This window comes from Homo sapiens, chromosome 2, assembly GCF_000001405.40.
Source record: "Homo sapiens chromosome 2, GRCh38.p14 Primary Assembly".
Taxonomy (NCBI): domain Eukaryota; kingdom Metazoa; phylum Chordata; class Mammalia; order Primates; family Hominidae; genus Homo; species Homo sapiens.
The window spans coordinates 159,517,345-159,539,030 of NC_000002.12; the positions used below are offsets into that span (position 1 = coordinate 159,517,345).

General features: G+C 34.9%; 1 protein-coding gene across 21 annotated transcripts in view; it reads right to left on the minus strand.

Moving 5' to 3' along the window:
- Positions 1-21,686, minus strand: part of BAZ2B (bromodomain adjacent to zinc finger domain 2B) — a 397,131-nt gene that overhangs the window by 202,033 nt on the left and 173,412 nt on the right. The gene's annotated exons all lie outside the window — the stretch shown is intronic.

Consider the following 21,686-nt stretch of genomic DNA (forward strand, 5'->3'; position numbering starts at 1 on the left):
AATTTTTAGTGTAGTTTGATGAGGGAAGATTTAAATTAGCCATGGGTATCAAACAAACAAAAAACCCAACTCCATCAAAATGATAAACTAATTTACTACTTAAAAAAATCTAGATAATTCTGTAAATTCATAAAATTTGCATTTATCTTTAAAATTCTATATTTACTAAGGCCATGCATCAATATCCTAACTATTTAGAACAAGTAAGATTTAATTTTAATGCAAAAAGCTCTTAAGAGCCCGTTACAACAATATAATCATGTTAAGATATTAAAATTATACTACTTAAATTAGGTTTGTATTTATTCATTTTGCAAAATAAAGTTATAATGCACTGAAATAGAACAAAACAGAATGATAACAAATAACAAAAAGAACACCCAGGAGAGAAGACTGTGCCAAGGGTATAGAATCTCAGAACAGGTCTCATTACATATACGTAATATGTCATTTCAAGGAGTATGTATTCGGTATTGAGCCACATTAATGCAAGTTGCTAACATCACTAATCACCACCTTTACTACAATGACACATGAAATAGCAAGTTTTCAAAAAACTACAACTACGAAGTTAACATTTCCAGCTGAATTTCTTGGTCACGTTAACATTAAATAATTTAAAAACCATAGTAGTCACATGGAATGCAAAACACAGTTCTTATTTCCTTTATAGAAAATTTGAGATGTAATTCCTACCACATAAGTAGCTTTGAGTATGTAATTCATACACCAAAACAAAACAAAATTTTAAATCAGAAAATTATTATTTCAATTGTTTCAATGATTTATGACCATCTTAGTTTCCTATAATGTGTCAAATTTAGAGCACGATGAAATGAAAACATAAAGAGGTACAGCAAATAAATTTGATATTTGGTTTCACTGAAGGTGGTTTTTATCAAGAGGCAGTAACTTTTGATATTATGAGTTTACAATTCAGTTAAAAGGTAAGGAACAAAAACCAGTTGGAAAAAGACTTGCCCTCAGAGCTGACAAATGAGAAAAATATATCTTTTCCTTCTCTTGGGTATATTTCAGCCCTACTTATCCTCTGAGGCATTCTTTAACTGGACCTGGTAGTGCTATACAGACAAAAAGCTTCAGAGTGAATTCCCCTGTACTCTGGAAAGTCCAAGAAACCACAGAGCTCAGTCGTCCATATTAAGAACTATGTGCAAAATGAGGTGGGAAGGCAGAGGGAGAGACAAGAGGAGGAAGAAAGTTTCCTACTTTTTGCTTGCTTGCCTTCTGCTACAATAAATAGGTGTTACATAATTATTTATATCCCATCTTATTCCAACATAATTTAAGATGACTTACAAAACTATGAGTAGAAGAACAGAATGCCGTCTTTAAAACTAATATGAATAAAAGGGAAAATAAGAGGACATGAGAAAGATGAAAACACAAGGTAAAGCTGGAACAAAGAAACACCTATCGTAAGGTCTTGCACAAGTCTATGATGTGGGTGGTTCAGCTCCTTAGCAATCAAAGTGGGAAACAAGATCAAATTACAAAATTCTCATTCTCTGTAAGATGTAATTTACAAACAAGCTCCAAAGCATTCTCTAGGACTTAGAATTGAGAGAAGTTTTAAAAATAATTTTCAAAAATGCAACACTGGAGCATACAACAGTTTTCTCAATAGAATCTTTACAGCAATTAAAATAACAAATTTCACATAAAAGTTTCTTTTAACATTTCCTCAGTGCAAGCCAGAGTGATAACATAAGGAAAGATTCCCCAAAATAAGCCATCTTGCTAGGAAGTGTGCAATTCTTATCTGGATCTTTAAACATACACTAACAATTTCCAGAATCTTATGTTAAATTCCATTTTCAAATTCCAACTTCATATTCTATTTTCTTTTTTTTTTTTTTTTTTTTTTTTTTTTTTGAGACGGAGTCTCGCTCTGTCGCCCAGGCCGGACTGCGGACTGCAGTGGCGCAATCTCGGCTCACTGCAAGCTCCGCTTCCCGGGTTCACGCCATTCTCCTGCCTCAGCCTCCCGAGTAGCTGGGACTACAGGCGCCCGCCACCGCGCCCGGCTAATTTTTTGTATTTTTTAGTAGAGACGGGGTTTCACCTTGTTAGCCAGGATGGTCTCGATCTCCTGACCTCATGATCCACCCGCCTCGGCCTCCCAAAGTGCTGGGATTACAGGCGTGAGCCACCGCGCCCGGCCTCATATTCTATTTTCTAAAGTCAGGTTCTTATGCTAGATGAGAGCATAAGATCACATAAAATGAGATAACCAGGGTTCCAGATCAGGCAAAAGATAAAACATTGGTAGGTAGGTCCAGACAATTATAAGGGACCTTTCTTCTTTTTTTTTTTTTTTTTTTTGAGACAGAGTCTTGCTCTGTCGCCCAGGCTGCAGTGCGGCGGTGCGATCTCGGCTCACTGCAAGCTCCGCCTCCCGGGTTCACGCCATTCTCCTGCCTCAGCCTCCCCAGTAGCTGAGACTGGCCAAGGGACCTTTCTTTTTAACTGAAATGAGTTCCTCTTTTCGTTGGTGATCTTCCTTCTATGATCCTGCCCATTACAACAGCTGGGAGTCCAATCTATGATGATGTTTAATCCTCCCCAGTTTGGTATTTCTAACCGTAGTAGATAAATGTGACTCTGTCTTCACATTCAGTTTGCATCAATTTAGATTCATATTTGCATACTTTTAGAACATTTACTTTTTGTTACTGGTGCAGAGGAAAGACAGCAAAACTGATACAAAGGAAATGTCCTATCTCTTATTTTATTATACAAGAAAAAACAAGATCTACCAGTGATGTCAAACGACATGCTACCATGGTATAATATCCAGCCTGAACACTAATAAAATGTAACAATGATGCATTCTGGTTTTCATGTCAGGTAAATAGGTTGTAGCAAATCATATCTTCCTTACTACTGGGTTGGTCTGCTCTCTGCCTCCCAAAGATCCTAAATTTATGTCCTCCTGCCTCCCAGATTATGCTTATGTTGTTTCATATCTCTTCTCCTACCTCATTATCAGTTTAGGTCTCATCACTTTCAGGATGGCTCTCTCTCAGACTCTACTTGAAGGGCCCATAAAAGCTTTCTCTACATAATTTAGCTATATATTACTATATAATTATTTGGGGATTCTCCTTATTAGATCTTGAAATTCCTTCTTTTATATTACCCACCATGAATAACAAAATGCTCAACATGTAGCAAATACTCTAAATACAAATAAACTTACTATAATGCATTAATAAACTGCTGTATATATTTATAACAGCTCATGTTTGTTCAACATAACTAGGATATTTATTATGATTGCATCAATTGAACCAGAAGGCAAATTTTTACCATACAGGTGATTTCTGCATGGTATACAATCAACCCATATTTAATCAAACCTTGGGCTTTTCTGTTTTCAAGCTTGTCAAAATAATTTCAATTGTGAGACAACTTTTGAGAACACTACCAAAAACCAAATCTATTTTGTAAGCTAGTGTCAAACCTCAAAATGACGAAGATTAAATGACAATTTTCATCCAATACAGTTTGATTCGTATTTGAACTCATAACATAAAATTTATGAAGCTTATTACTTTATTACCATTCAAAGAATTCTTCCAATGTGTAGCCATTAAAATTTATTTCTGAACTTCCTATTTTATAAAAATTCAAACCTTAGTAATCTCAATATATAATTCTGCTATTGTAAAAGGTAGTAGTCTTTAGATTTGGCATAATATATACACTCCCTTACCATAATTTCCTGCAATAAGGAAAACCACTCCTAATATTTAAAAATATGTTAGAAAACATACACTGAAGTATCTCATATTATCAACTTAAATCAATCAAGATTCATTCTGTTCATTAAAAAAGTTATAGGATAATTATCATGGTTACATTATTAACCATCTTATAATTGTTTACTTCAAAGAACAAAAGTAGGAAACATTTCCATAATATAAATTGAAATGGCTTTTGAACAAATTTAACAACAAAAGAATATTATTCAATTTTCTTTCTTTTCCTTAAAAACAAAATGGAAAGAGTAAGCCAAAGACAGATACAGATGTGTATATTTTCATTTATTGCAACATAATAGATACACACAGAGGCTGTGAGAATACAATATTCATTTTTCTGCAGAAGAACAGACATTGCATAACAATGAGATTTGCTAATGAAATCAACCATCAACCTGAAATACATATGTATTAAACCAAGACCTCAGTGTCATTTTCTTTTTGAATCGTTTGTTCTTACTTTCATTTTTTTCTCGACCTTTTCAGTATTTTTGTCCTTTAGATTTTAGAACTTATGGGTGAAGCAAAATCAACTCTATATTACAATGTATTGCTTTTTATTCATCACATTTATTTTCAATGTAAATTCCAATTGTTCTGCTTCTATCAGCACTATTAGTGTACCTTCAGAAAAAAGAAATCAATGGATGCTACCAGAAGAAACAAAGGAGGTTTATTTCTATAGAGAATTGTTGGATCTCAGGTCCAAAAAATTTTTTATCAATATTTCACATAAATTCTATGTGAAAACTTTAATTGCAAGGCGAGTGCTTACTTATTTAATAAGAAATAAGAAAATAATAAATACATTTTAAAGTCACTTTTGTAATAATATAATTTCCTCGACAATTTTGACTACTGATAATTATTAAATGAAATAATGTAGGGCTAATATAATCATTAAAATGAAAATTATTCTCAAGTTTTTAAAATAATACTTTTCCCTCAAAATGTTTTACTATCCTGGTCTGCAAATGTTGATTACCAATTAATATTTTCAAAAATAAGTAATACTGGGAATTTTCTTAAAGATTTATGATTTAGTTACAATCTTCAATAAAAGCACAAGACTATGAAAATATTTAATGTGATGTATCTTAAAGAAAAAATAAGTATTAATGTACCCCCAGAATCAATTTATATCCTTTTGAGTATAGGATATTTAACTAAAGAGCTATCTGTGCTATTGGTTATCCATTTACACAAATTAGGTTTTCAATTCACCTGTGCTACAGATAAAATTAACAGGCTAATCTCTGGCATACAATTGCTACTAATTCATAATAATAACAGCTTTAACAACAACAACAACAAAAAGCAGTACTTATACCAACTAAAACATCCAGAGTCAAACAGAAGATTAAGTTTCCTGTTATATTTTATACTACGTTAATGTCTAACCTCAAACAATACCCTGCAAAAATAACCAAAGGCAGTATCAACTACAATTCTGTTAGAAATAAGTAAACAATTAGACGTTCCTTATTAAATGTAAACTCTGAAAGTTGTCACTGACGTCTAATAATTGTCAAGGCTATTTTTAAAACTTTGAAGAATGACTTGAAGCTACAAACCACACAACCACAGAACGATCAATCAATCTAAACACAAGAGATTTTCCTTTAAAAATCCAAAAATTTCTATTAAAATGTCAAAATATACATTAGACTGTAGAGAAACAGACGCTTTAAACGAGTATCTGTGCAATACCAAAAGCCTACTTTTACTAGTACAAAAAAAAAATCCTAAAACATGGTGATAGGGTTTGGAAAGTCATCTAGCTCATTGCTACTCCAAGTATAGTCCACAGACCAGCAACATGGAAATTATTTGTTAAAAATGCAGAATCTTGGCCAGGTATGGTGGCTCACACCTGTGATCCCAACATTTTTGGGAAGCCAAGGCAGGAGGATCACTTGAGGCCAGGAGTTCAACACTAGCCCAGGCAACACAACGAGACCCCATCTCTACAAAAAAATAAAATAATTAGCCAGATGTGGTGGCATGTGCCTGTAGTCCCAGCTACTCAGGAGGCTGAGATGGGAGAATCACTTGAGGCCAGGAGTTCTAGGCCAGCCTGGGTAATAGTGAGACCTGGTCTCTACAAAAAATATTAAAAATTAGCCAGGTGTGTTGGCACGTACCTGTAGTCTTAGCAACTCAGGACATTCAGGTGGGAAGATCACTTCAGCCCAGGAGTTCGAAGTTACAGTGAGCTATGACTGTGCCACTGCACTCTAGCCTGGGTGACAGAGCAAGACCCTGTCTCTAAAAAAAAACAAAAGAAACAAGGCTGGGCGCAGTGGCTCACGCTTGTAATCCCAGCACTTTGGGAGGTCGAGGCGGGCGGATCACAAGATCAGGAGTTCGAGACCAGCCTGGCCAACATAGTGAAACCCTGTCTCTACTAAAAGTACAAAAATTAGCCGGGCATGGTGGCGCATGCCTGTAGTCCCAGCTGCTCGGGAGGCTGAGGTGGAAGAACTGGTTGAACCCGGGAGGCAGAGGTTGCAGTGAACTGTGACACTGCACCCCAGCCTGGGTGACAGAGTGAGACTCCGTCTCAAAAAAAAGAAAAAGAAACAGAAATGCAGAAACTCAGGCCCCAGACTAGACTTACTCAGAATATTCTGTACATTAAAGTTTAGGAAGCCCTGATCTAGTACCTAACAATTTATACACCAATTTCAATAATTTCTGATATAATAACAACCCCTCAAAAAATCCATATTAAGAGACAGAATACTCAGGGAATAATTTATTTGTTGTGCCCAAAGTCCACGGCCTATCTTTTGCTTATTCATCTAAGTCTCATTCATATGGACTACTGATTTAAAATTTGTGGTAATATGAGGAATAAGAGGGCAGAAATAATATGTTTCTATAAACTATTGGAAAAAAATACATATAAAAAACAAGAATTTACACTCAGCAAAATTTTAAATTGATTCAGCAGAGGAGGCCTTTCTTCAAATAAAATATGTGAAGAAGCCCAGTATGTGCTCACACTGAGATTACAGGCTCACACCTGTAATCCCAACTCTTGGGAGACCAACGTGGGAGGATACATTGACGCCAGGAGTTTGTGACCAGCCTGGGCAACACAGCAAGACCCCATCTCTACAAAAATTTTAAAAAATTAGCCAGGTATTAAAAAAATAAATAAAATAAAATTAGCCAGGCATGGTGGTGCGCGCCTGTTGTCGCAGCTACTCAGCAGGCTAAGGTGGGAGGATCGCTTGAGCCGGGAAGTCAAGGCTGCAGTGAGCTGTGATCATGTCACTACACTCGAGCCTGGGCAACAGAGCGCAACCCCATCTCAAAAACAAAACAACAAACAAACCCAGAATAGCAGAAAATAAAGAGCTGCTTTTTGGGGTAGAGGAGGTACCTAGCAGCTGCCAAGATATTTCAATAGAACCAATTCACATGGTTCTGCAGGGGACACTCTGACCTGAGAAAAGGGGATTACTTAAGAGTCTAAAAACAAGTGGAAAAGTTGTTACACTAATCACAAAGTTCACTATTTATCAAAGCAAGTCCTCAAGTTTATTCTGTAGTATTTTAAACTAAGAACACTGGATTAAAATTACATAATTTTTTTGTAAGTAAAATTGATATTTTCCTAAATAAATCCAATCGGCGAAGTTAGAAGTAACTAAGGTTATCTTTAATTAAATTATTTTAATTAGTAGTAGGCCTGTCATTTACAAGGCATTATGTTAAATGCTAGTAATATAGATGAATGGACAAAGTACTCTATTTATCGTCTTGGAAGAATAAAATAAATACATGGTAGTCCCAGCTACTCAGGAAACTGAGGCAGGAGGAGTTCTTGAGCCCAGGAGTTCCAGACCAGCCAGAGCAATATAGAGAGACCCTGTCTCTAAAATAAAGATAAATACATGGAACATACTACCATTTATACCGTAAGAGTGGTATAAATAAAGTACTCTGAGAGCAAAATTAACTGAGGATGTCAGAAAAAAGGTTTACGAAAAAATGACATCTGAAGTAGGCTTTGGAAAGCAGTGTAGGAATTTGAATAACAAAGGTGGGTAGGTGGAGGAACTAGGAAAAGAGGCATCCCAAGGGGAAGGACAACATAAGCTAAGGATCAAAAGCTGAAAAGCACTGGATATATTCTGAGAATAGCTAAGGTGGCTTCCAAGCTCCCTAATAACAGGAATCATGAGTTGTTCCTTTTATAGCAGTAGCACCTATAACACGCAAGAGTTAATATACAGGTTGAATATCCAGAATTTGAAAAGCTCCAAGATCTGAAACTTTTTGAGCATCAACATGATGCCACAGGTGAAAAATTCCATACCTGACCTTATGTGACGTGTTGCACATTATTTAAAATATCATATATAATTGCCTTCAGTTTATGTGTATAAGGTGTAGATGAAACTAATAAATTCAGTGTTTAGACCTGGGTATCTCCCCTCCCCAAGATATCTCATTATATATATGGAAATATTCCAAAGTCTGAAAAAATCTGAAATCCCAAAAGCTTCTAGACCCAACCATTTCAGATAAGGAATACTCAACCTGTACCTGGGCAGCATAAGAGCTTGTTATGTATATACTGTTTGAATGACTCAATCAATCAGTAAAGTAATATAGTCTGGCTAGTACAAAGGACATATGTAAAAAAAATAGTGGGAGAGATATTTATTTGGCTGAAAACGTACTTTAAGACCTTATTGGAGATGACCTTAAATACCACACTAAGTGTTTGATTTTAATGCTGCAAACAATGGTAAACTACCTGCTTAGAAATATTGATCTAGCAGCTTTAAGGAGGATGAATTGAAGCAGGAAGAAGTTTACAATAAGGATATTGCAATAGTTGGTCTCCTGAGATAATTTAGGCAAAAGTGAGGTTTTGTACTAAGGTGTGGCAGAAGAGTGACAAATGAGGGGATGGATAAATATAAAAGTTATTCATATATAGAAGTAGGGATAATTTTTTTTTACTTCCTAGCTGGTTAAACTAGAGAAAGAAATGTAAAAATTGTATTGTAGAAGTAAAATTTATTGGACTTCAAAGCAGCCTTTATATGCAGAAAGTAGGAATACAAAAATTAAGCAAATGCCAAAAAAGTAGAGCAGAAATCTTTTATGCATTGATCACATAAACTGGTACAATTATATAGAAAGAAATTAGGCAACATATAGTAAAGTCAAAGCAGCATGTAGACCGTAATACAGTAATTCTAGATATCTCACCCAGAAAAGTTCCCATACATGCACATAAAAAGTCATGTATACGAATGTAAATTGCAGTTCTACTTGTAGAGTAAAACCTTGGAAATATTGGAAAATGAAAAAATGAAAATATCACGGTATGTTTTTATAATGAAATACTATATGGTAGTTAAAATGAATGACATAGAGCTACTTATATTAACATAGATATATATCTTTAATATGCTAACACAAACACTTGAGGGAAGTGAAGGTTTAAGGTTTTGTTTGCACTTCTGTTTATCACTTTATTTCATGCCAGGACAATCCTTTGGATAACAATGAAATAAACCAGTCATGAGGGAGAAAAATGAATGTCTTTTGGCAGATCATGAAACAAGCCTCTAGAGAAGGCAGAAATGAATAAAAATAAAAAAGCATGAAGTTTTAGGTTTAGTAAGGAGGTGAAACACTTCATTTCTCAGATATGGGTAGGGAGGTAGAAGGAAAAAAACCTAATAGTTTTTTGTTTTTTTGCTTTTGAGACAGGGTCTCATTCTATCACCCATGCTGGAGTGCAGTGGAATCTCTGCTCACTAGCTTATATAGTAAGTGTGTGTTTCTTCCTTTTTTTTTTTTTGAAACTGCAAACTATTTTTCAGAGTGGTTGTACCATTTTACATTCCCACTGGTAATGTATGAGAGTCTGATTTCTTCATATCTTTGCCAGCAATTCATATTGTCGCTATTTTTAATTTTAATTTTTTTAGACAGGGTCTTGCTGTGTTGTGCAGGCTGGTCTTAAACTCCTGGGTTCAAGCAAGAGTTCAACTGTTCTAATAGGTGTGTGGTAATATGTCATTTTTCAATTTCTCTGACGGCTAGTGATGCTGAACATCTTTTCATGTGTTCAGCTGACATCCGTATAACCTTTTTGGCGAAATGAATATCTTTTGCCCATTTTCTAATTGGACTGTTTGCCTTTTTACTATTGAGTTTTTAGTTTTTATATATCCTAGATAAGAGTCCTTTGTCAGATAAGCAGTTTTCAAGTATTTCCTCCCAGTATGTAGTTTGTTTTTTCATCATCTTAACAGGGCATTTTGCAAAGCAAATGTTTTTAATTTTGATAAAGTCCAATTTACAGATTTCTTTCTTCTATGGATCATGTTTTTGCATCACATGGAGAAACTCTTCACCAAGTTTTGTCTTGTAGGTTTTCACCTATGTTTTCTTCTAAAAGCTTTATATTTCTACATTTAAATGTATGATCCAAACAGGTTCTGAGCTACAGGAGAAGAAGAACTGAACAATCTTTTCATCAGGACTTCAACTACTTTGTCTAGTTAATTTCAACATTTACTGGGTATCCACTTAAAGTGGATACTACTTAAAGTAGTAGGCACTTAGCACAGTTACAAAGTATCAGTATCAGATACACACAGGAGAAAAAACACAAATATATATTTTTATTTCACTATTTTCAGTGTTTTGATAAGAGTTATACATGAGTGCACCTGACTTACCCAGGAAGAGCTTGAGAGTGTTTCTGTAGACTACATTTGCTCTAAACTTGGAAGCCTTCTCACAGGGGAAGGCTATGTCAGGAAGGGATAACAGCACTCAGTAAAGGCAAAAGGACTATATACACACCTCTTGCTTTAAGGAAGTATAAATCATTTAACATTTGGAGACTAAGTATGGGAGATTGAGGCATTACTTTTAGATGTAAGCAGGAGACAGGCTGTGGAAGATTTCATATACCCTGTAAATGAGATTAAATTTTATTCTGTAGTGGTTGGAAGCTAATAAGGAGTTTAAGTAGGTAAATAACCTAGTTTGATTTGTGATGTCAATTATATCATCATTGAGAGGATGATGAACTTGGACACAGCAAGACTAGGGGCAGAGACACTAGTTAGGGGGTTACTGTGACAGCCCAGGTGAGACATGATGCAAATCTACATTAAGATTTAAGCATCATGAACAGAGAAGGAAAGATGGATTTGAGAAATATTTAGGGGGAAAAAAAGAAATGTAGTCTTTGTTAAAAACAGGCCGAGAACAGTAGAGAAGGCCAGGTGCAGTGGCTCATGCCTATAATCCCAGCACTTTGGGAGGCCAAGGCGGTTGGATCACCTGAGGTCAAGAGTTTGAGACCAGCCTGGCCAACATGGTGAAACCCCATTTCTACTAAAAATAGAAAAATTAGCCAGGTGTGGTGGTGAGTGCCTGTAATCCCAGCTACTTAGTAGGCTGAGGCAGGAGAATCACTTGAACCTGGGAGGCGGAGGTTGCAGTAAGCCAAGCTCGCGCCACTGTACTCCAGCCTGGGTGACAAGCGAAACTCTGTCTCAAAAAAAAAAAAAAAAGAATAGTAGAGAAGTTATGAAACAGCAATCGATTGTAGAAAATCCTTTTATTAACCTCTAGTTAACCTGTAGGATTGTCTAATACAGCACTTACCAAAGCATGAAAAACACTAGTCCCATAAGATGTTCTTTGAAGGAAGGGTCAAATAAGTTGGAGGTTCACAAAACACATTAACACATTTTAAAAGGCTCAGAAAAAGTTGTTAAATAAAACAAAACCCTTTGGATACAGGAAGGGGAACATCACACACCAGGGCCTGTTGTGGGGGGGTGGGGGTGGGGGGAGGGATAGCATTAGGAGATATACCTAATGTAAATGACGAGTTAATGGGTGCAGCACACCAACATGGCACATGTATACATATGTAACAAACCTGCACGTTGTGCACATGTACCCTAGAACTTAAAGTATAATAAGTAAAAAAATAAAAATATACATAAAAAAATAAATAAAACAAAACCTTTTAACATTAACCCTATGTCTTCCAAACTTACTTGACCATGGAACCTTTTTTCATGAAATACTCCATACAACCAATGCTCTACCAAAACTACTTTGGGTACCACTGGTTTGGCAACAATGTGGGCTTTGGTTAAGCTTCAATCTTCTCTTTAAAAAAAAAAAAAGACATATGCTTAAATGTTCATTTATGTGAAATCTCTCTGGCTTCCTTTGTAACTCTCTCTCATTGCTCACCAACTCTAGCCATCCTGATTTCCCTATTATTCTTGGAATATGCAAAGCACAATCTCTCTCAGTATCGTGGCATTTACTGTTTTCTTTGGAACAGTTCTCACCCAGGTATCTACATGGCTCAACTCCCTCACTTCCTTAAGATCTCTGCAAAACTGTCATCTTATTGGAGAGGTCTTCAGTAGCCAATCTGTAACAAATACTAATTCATACCCCTGGCTAATTCATACTCATGACTCTTAATTTGCTTTACCTTTCTCCTAAGTGTTAGTTGCCATCTAATATACTACATACAACTTATTTATCTCTTTCACCAATAGAATGAAAAGCTCCATGAGTGCAGAGTCGCTGTTGTTTAGTACCTTATCCTTAGCACATGCAAGTAACTAGGCACTTAATAGTTGTTGAAGAATTTAGTGATCATCATATAACCTCTGATTGTATTTATTTTATATTAAAGTAGATAATAGGTAAAATACCTACATATCAACATATTCATTGATAAAAACAGTATTTTCACTTATGATTTTGTTTTTCATATTTTTCATGTCCACATTCAATATGAAAGATCTCACCAGTTTTATCCTTTAAAAAAAGTGAGGATTTTGGAAGCTTTCAACTCTAACTTTTCAAACTTTTCTCTTCATCAAAAACAAATCTAAAATTGCTACATAATTATATCTTTAGAAAATGCACAGTCATTTTAGTATAACTTCTTAAATTTCTCTTTAGCACTTCCTTAGACACTGGCCTGCAAAGGACTACCTATAATATTGAAAGTAGTAACCTTCACCCTCTAAAACAGAGTCACTTTCTTTTGTGATGTACAGTGATTTCTTTCTATAACTTTTGCAATTGTTAAGTGCTTTCATAGGTTTTAGGTGTGTAATGCCTCTACTTTTAATTTTAACCATGACTTATTACTCTTCAGTATAGATCAACTGTCCAGCTGAACGTATTTCACATAATACTCTCATAGTGACATATATTCCCCTTAAAACGGAAAGAAATGCTCACTGATAAATGCAGCAATTTTTCAAAATATCTCAGTATATCTATAAATAATCTATAAAACCCTTAAATATTTTAATATAAAATGCAATATTTCTACAAGAAAGGACTTTAAAAAATACCCAAATAAGTTAACACAAGATATATACTTTAATTGGTTCTGCTTCATATAAAATATTTATTGAGGAATAACAACAGAGTTATGCATATATAACTTTATAATCCAGATATAAACTCTCCATTCATCAAAATTTTTCTATATAGCAATATATTAATAGCAAAGTAAGGCCGAGTGCAGTGGCTCACACCTTAATCCTAGCACTTTGGGAGGCCAAGGTTGGTGGATCACTTGAGATCAGGAGTTTGAGACCAGCCTGGCCAACATGATGAAACCCTGTCTCTACTAAAAATACAAAAATTACCCAGGCATGGTGCCGCATGCCTGTAATCCCAGCTACTCAGGAGGCTGAGGCAGGAGAATCACTTGAACCCAGGAGGCAAAGGCTGCAGTGAGCCAAGAATGCGCCACTGCACTCTAGCCTGGGCAACAGAGACTCCGTCTCAAAACAAACAAACAAACAAACAAAAAGCAAATTAAAATGAAAATTCTGAATTCCTTCCAGTAAAAATACCTGCAATTGAAAAATAAATAAAAGTCTCTGAAATTATTATTATCATTATGCATCTGTCATGAATAATTAGGTGTATTCTGTGGGTATTATGTTTTATTTAAAGAGAGTTTTACCTGTAACTAAAGATATTTTATAACAAGTCATAATTTAAGAGTCATAAACTAGCTAAGTAGTCTTAGTTAAGTCACACTCTCTGACCCTTACTTTCCTCATCTGGAAAATGAGTGGACTGGTCCAGGGTTTTTAGCACACTGTTAGGCTTTAATATTCTGTGATTCTAAAAAAAATTTTTTTCGATCAATTTTTTTGATTGAAAAACTTCTATGAGATGTTTTTACTTTTGCAAACCAACTGAGAAATATTTCTGATACTAGAAATGCACATTCTCTTAAAAGCTTATTTCTTTAAAAAGTAGACAATAAAATATATTTATGTTTCTTTATAATGAAACACCTCAATTTGTACTGAAATGTGATGACAACTATTTATCTACTTTAGGTGAATAAAAGCTGAGAACAATTTATTAGACCATGGAAAAGACTCCTGAATACTAGAAGGTCACAGCCTATATGCTGAGCTGCTAGCAAAACATCTATGTGCTCCAAAGCTGCCATTTTTCTTCCTTGACAAAGACTCCATCTGCCACCGAGCCATTTACAGCCTCCAAGTCAGAATATCAATGATTTCCAACCATTCTGCAAGCCTGCTTTCACCTTGACATCACCTTTGTAATACATCTACAGCAGATGATACATATATCCCCAACTACAAGCATGAAGCCCATGCTTTATTCACCTGAGAGGTATTTAAGCTGCTCTCTAAAGTACCATTTTTATTCATGCTAACTTGCAAAAGAATTTTAAAGTGTATATATTCAATTATCTATACACTTACATATACTTTCCTATAATTCCTTTTGCTTTATGTACCTGAAATCAAATATATTCCTAAAACTTTAAAACCTAAAATGACTTTAGTTTGACATAGTTTTCAATGGCTTAGAAACTAAGACAACAGAAGTACATTGTATTTCCATTTAACAATCTGCCACAAAATTATTTTTTATAAAATATTTTATTTCCTTAGAAATTGAAAACACTAAAACAATGAAGAAATATTGATAACATTTCTAGTTTTGTACTCTAATCAATGTTTTTTAACATTTTAAACAAGTGAAACCCATTTACATAGTAATAAAATAAAACCAGAGAATTTTTCAATTATATTTTGTAGAATGCTAACTACCAAGAACTATTAAAAACACTTCTTCCATCCTTTTAAACAAAAGCAGTAAAATCCTTGGCTATAATATCCGTACAAATGAAAATAAAGTCTTACACTTTTATCTGAAAGTAAATGTTCTCTACCAAATAAATAAAAAATGAATTAAGGCCTATTATGTGCAAAATATTACGGGGAGAACAAAAAAGTTTAAAACAAGACTCATGGCCTCAAACTGCGGAAATAATAAATGCACTCATGAACAAGCATCTAAAAAGACAATGCACTGTACAGTGATAGGAAGTGTGTTACATAAGAAGGAATTTTGGAATTAGAAGTTAGGGACTTAAGTTTACTTGCATCTCTGCCCTGAAATCTCTAAGTACTTATGTTAATCATTTAACTCCAGAAAAACCACTAACTCACCTGTAGTTAAGTGACCATTATAAGTGATATCTAAGGTCTTTTTCTGCTCTGGCACTCTCTGATAAAAGGATTCTGTGTCAAGATGTCAAATGATTACACATGCTACCTGGCCCCAGATTTTACAAGTCACACTCGTTTTAGGTAGACATGGCCAGTACGGAGAAGGAAATGAGATTTTAGTTGAGTCTCCAAGAATGTGCAACATTAAAATATACATGGAGAGACAGAAAAAGTATCTCCCAGAAAAAGGAAATACCATAAACAAAGGTGCGAAAAACAAAATCATGACTTCAGATGTGTTTATGTGGCATTGTTATCCACAAAAAGTAAGAATAGGAGACATGATACTGGAGACAGAGAAACTAGAAAGTAAATTAATATGGCAATCTAAGCATGACCTGATAGGGTGGTGGTGGGAGTGAAAGGAAAACAAAGGATGCAAAAGATATTGAAGATAGATCACAGGCACTTTTAAGTTTTGATTATTTGAAGCTAGAGAAAACAGCAATCTAAAGTGGTATCAAGAGTTGTTATCTTGTTGTGGGAAATGGTGAAACCATTAACAGTAATAGGCCTGATACATAATCCTTTTTCTAAAACAATACGGAAAGAAGAATAGAATACATTAAAGAGGATTGAAGAAAGTCACTTAATTTTCAGAAAAAGAACACTGGACTAGGAATTCGACACCAATACCAGAGTCTCACCGTAAACTAGCTGTGCAATATAGATCAAGTCACTCTGAGGTTTGGTTTTCCAAAATGAAAGTGCTAAACTTATGATCATTTTCATCATTATTTTCAGCTTTATATATAACACATTATCTTAATTTCCCCACAAACTTCAAGTTGTAGAAGCAGGCAATCTTTCAAAATCCCTTCTTAATCTTGACTGATTTAACATTTTTTACACATATGAAAGGCTGAAAAGTACAAAGTACTTTATAAACAAAAAAGAAGAAGAAAGATTTTCACCAAACAAGTATAACTAATAACACAACTGCCACAAAACTAAAAGCAGAATCAGAGATTTCAGAATTAACCCGGCATTTCTGATCCTGCTTCAGCCACTAGCTGGTCATTCATTAAATATCCTTTATGAGCAACTAAGAGTAAACCAAAAGATATACAGTTTCCATGTTTAAGCATATCATAACTTTATTGGTGAGATAAAAATGAATGTATGTGAAACAAAAATGGACTTTTAATGTAGACTAAGCCACATACTAAGAAAATCATTACTTAACATTTCTAACGAAAGCTAAAACTGAACTGTAATCTGAAAACTGTGGTTAACAGAATAAATATTGTAAGTTTTCCTTTAACGAGAGGCCGTAATCAAATTAAAATTCTATAAATATTTCATACTGTTATTTTTTGCACAATGATTCCTCATAATTTCAAGTAAAAACCTTGTATCTATTCCTATGTTATGATTCCAAATACATGGGGGACTTATAAAGTGTGTTTCTGAAGGGATGTGTAAAGCAAATAGAGTAAAACAATTTTATTTACTAAACAGAATTTACAGTCATGCATCACTTATCCACAGGTATATGTTCTGAGAAACGTGTTGTTAGGTGATTTTGTTGTATGAACATCACAGAGTGTACTTACGTGAACCTAGATGGTAAAGACTACTACATACCTAGGTTATATTGTATAGCCTGTTATTTCTAGGCTACAAACCTGTACAGCATGATACTGTATGGAATACTGTAGGCAACTGTAACACAATGGTGTTTCTAATAGAAATAGGCCTGAAATGTGAATATGAAAAGTATTTGTATAGGTAAACATATCTAAACATAGAAAAGAAAAAGTAAAATTATGGTATTATAATCTTATGGGACAACTGTCATATATACAGTCTGTCCTTGACCAAAACATCATTATGCCTCCTGTGACATTGTATTCTGAAATAATTTGTACTCCAAACATAATTTCTTCTTTTTTTTTTTTTTCTGAGACGGAGTCTCGCTCTGTCGCCAGGCTGGAGGGCAGTGGCGCCCACCTCTCAGGTTCAAGCAATTCTTCTGCTTCAGCCTCCCGCGTAGCTGGGACTACAGGCATGCACCTCTGCACCCAGCTAATTTTTGTATTTTTAGTAGATAAGGGGTTTCACCATGCTAGCCAGGTTGGTCTCGAATTCCTGACTTCAGGCGATCCACCTGCCTCGGCCTCCCAAAGTGCTGGGCTTACAGGTGTGAGCCACCACACCTGGCCTCCAAACATAAGTTCTAAATCAATAAACAATTTTTATAGGGAAGTAAATTTAACAAACGTAAAAAAGGGAAAAGTTAACTTCTAGAAACTTGTCTTATTTCTTCCATTAAAATAAGTATGCCAATAATAAATAATTAAAATCATATACCAGAGCTTATTACTCTTAATTTTTCAGTACTTACTATTAACATATACACAACTAAAGATATAATTAAATTGGCAAGTGCTACATATGTTCCAGTGAGGTAAATTTTTGCTCTTTGGGAAAAATATTTCTATATACTCATGGACTTTGATCTCCAAGATGACTTCTTGCTTATGAAAAATACACCTGGCTGGGCGCGGTGGCTCACGCCTGTGATTCCAGCACTGTGGGAGACTGAGGTGGGCGGATCACTTGAGGTCAGGAGTTCAAGACCAGCCTGGTCAATATGGTGAAACCCCGTCTCCACTAAAAATGCAAAAATTAGCTGGGCATGGTGGCATGTGCCTGTAATCCCAGCTACTGGGGAGTCTGAGGCAAAAGAACTGCTTGAACTCGGCAGGTGGAGGTTGCAATGAGCCAAGATTGCGCCATTGCACTTCAGCCTGGGTGACAGAACAGTGAGACTCTGTCTCAAAAAGAAAAGAAAAATACACCTTTATTTTATTTGAAGAATATTATGACTCAATAAACTTTCTCTATTTTGCTTTAAAAGCTCATTATCAGTATGTAAAAATGATCACAGTATAGTACTTAAAATAAGACAAACAAAATTAATTAGAAATGTTCTGAGTGTTACCTATAAAAATACAACTTCAGATAATAATGAACCCCAGCTCTCTTTAAAGACATTAATATTCTCTCTTCATTATTAACATTTTACTAAAATAAAATCAATTCTTTTTCCACTCCTCAAAGCAAAATCCATGTTAGAAAATGGTCTGCAGCTACCAGGTCACTTCTGCAATTGTCTGTCTGAATCTTTAGCCAGTGCTAAACATATCTGTGTGGCAAAGGTTTGTGATTTATTGCTGCTGTAGTGATTTGGTAATTGGTCCCCAAGTTCTCATACATTAATGCTTTATTTTTAAATGGCACATTAGAAAAGAATAATTAATAGAAAGTAACTGATCCACAGTATGTGTGAAATTATATACAGATTTGCTGAACACATGAGCAACTAACTACAAATATACATTAAAAACCTGTTTAGTCCAGTGAATATTTATTGTAAACAAGTTTGAGGGGTTAAGTTCCAACACTGAACAGACATATGTGAATAAGGTAGTTTTGACCACAAGGAGCTCACAATCAAATATTTATTGATTGATTGATTTTTATTTATTTACTTTTTTTAAGGCTAGTCAAGCAAAGTAGTGGGAGTGGAGAAAAAAACAAAGAAATCTGTCACTGGTTGTGAACAATTAGGTGTAAACACCAGGGCTCTCAGATCAGCCACAATCAAATACTTTAAATGGAAAATTTTCTAAGTGTTCATATTTTTAATGAAATAATAGCGTATTTAAATTTGTATTTCTAATAATAAATAAAATAAGAGTATTTCTCAGTAACCCAGAAAGAACAGGCTGAGAAATTTAAATGCATACCATGTGTGTTAGTGAGTGGCAATCAGATCAGAGTGTTCAATCCCTGTGTCACACGGAGATAGCTACCACGATGGTTCTGAATTTTTTGCATTTTAAAATTTGTTGAAAGAATAGAAGCATGAGGTGAACTAATAGGAAAATGAAAGCCAATGAAGGAAGAAGATCTTCGCTAAATTCTTCAGTTGCGTGTAACTGCTCAAAGTTTTTACATGGCACATCAAGATGTCTTTTTTATTTCAAAAACCAATGTTAAGAAAAAAAGTAATGATAATTACTTTTATATAATAACCAAAGTGGATACAATTATGTTTTCTGAATTACGACAAAAATTACAAAAACAAACCAGTTTATTTGTTGACATTGAAAGAACTTCAAACATCAGCAAACGAAAGCAATCTTTAATATTTACATGTGGTACAGCAAAATTTAATCTATGTTTAATAAACAAAATAAAAATATCACTTTAAAATGTCGATATCACGATAGTGAAGAGGCAAAAGCAACCCAAGAGTCCATCCACAGATGAATGAGTAAATAAAATATGGCATACACACACACACAGGAGTATCATTCAGCCTTAAAACGAAAGGACATTCTGGCACATGCTACAACATGCATGAAACTTCAAGGACATGATACTAAGTGAAACAATCCAGTAACAAAAAGACAAATACTGTATGATCTCACATATACGAGGTACTTACAGTAGTCAAAATCATAGAGACAGGAAGTAAAATGGTGGGTCACCAAGGGCCAGGGGAAAGTGGTCATGAGGCATTATTGTTTAATGTGCATAGACTTTTAGTTTTGAAAGATGAAAAGAATTCTGGAGATGGATGGTGGTGATGACCGTACACCAATGTGATTGAACTGTACATCCCCAAAGGTCTGACTTTCAGTCTTCTTCTGGATAAAGGGATAAATGAGGCACTGTTACCTGTCTGTGTTAAGTGGAGGAGACTGAGGAATCTAACTAATTGAACAGACTTTGTATGTTTAATGAATGTTTAATAAACATTTCCCATTTTCATATAGTTTTTATATGTAGAGCTTCGCCTGTACCTATAACTATAACCTTCTTCTTCCCTCCTGCCCATTCTAGAGATACACACAACTGCTAATTGCTGAGCCTTTCGGAGTTTCAAATGTGTAAACTGTTTTTTCTAGGCTTTCTTCACTGTCATCTGATAATTCAGTTATTCGGTTCTCTCAATCTGATAAATCAGTTACTATTTATCTATTGCTCTCCAGCTTCCAGAATTTTGTTGGTATTCATTCTTCTCCTGTTTCTTTGCTTATGCCTTTTTGAAAATTTTTTTTTCCTATATAATTAATGGGGCTTCAACAGTTAGCTGAAGTAAGTGTGTATGTTAATCTACCATCTTTTTTTAGGAGCCTATTGTCCTCTTCCTCAGTCTCATGAAATCCTTTCTATGTTAGAAATTGTCTTCTGTAGGAAGAGGCTGGTTTCATGAGTAAATACTATGTGCAATTAACTTTTTTGTTTGTTTGTTTGTTTAGGAGGAGTCTCACTCTGTTGCTCAGGCTGCAGTGCAGTGGCCCGATCTTGGCTCACCGCAACCTCTGTCTCCTGGGTTCAAGGGATCCTCCCACCTCAGCCTCTCTGGTTGCTGAGACTACAGGTACGCACCACCATGTCTGGCTAATTTTTGTATTTTTAGTAGAAACAGGGCTTTCACCATGTTGCCCAGGCTGGACTCGAACTCCTGTATGTGCAATTAACTTTAAAGGTCAATTTTATAGAAAGGCTTCTGATCTTCACCTGAAATTCTGCTATGTCTGCTGTTTTTATCATTTCTTTTAATACTCACTGTATATATGAAATATTTGCACAACACCACAGTCTTTTTTGATTTAATCCTTGCATGTGGTACTCTGCATTTATTTGTAACTGCATTTTCATTTTAGGAATCTGACTAGATTTAACTTTCTAAGAGCCTTCCTCCTGCTTCTTGGCAAACACACTTAAAAATCACATCATTTTCTCTATGGTCATGTTGCCCATTCCAGTTGTACAGGCATTCTCATGTACCACTCTGGTGTGTCTTACTTATGAAAGTGTCTGCTTAATATTATGGCAAAAAAGCATTGTATATCTATACCTAGGGTTTTGAATTGGGGAAAGATCTAGGCACCCAGTTGAGGACCAACAGAGGACATTATCACATGATCAGAGATAAATCAATTCCTTTGTTTATAATCATACAGCCCAATACTCAAAAAACATAGTGGCAAAATTTGCTATGAAGCCTGCCTTCAAAACTTTTAACATTTTATCTTCTCACCTTATGTAAACTTACAAATACAAAAGAAAAGGGATGAGGGAAAAAGGAAGGGGAAGAGGACAACAGTAACAAAATGCAACATAACGCTTTTTCACTCTCTACTTCCAAGAGAATTCAACTTTTCCATGTGTCTTAAGACAGATACTACTTTATTTTCCTATAAAGTTGGAAAACATAAACTGTTTTTACATATTTTTTGCAGCATCAGCATCACTGTTCAAATAGTGA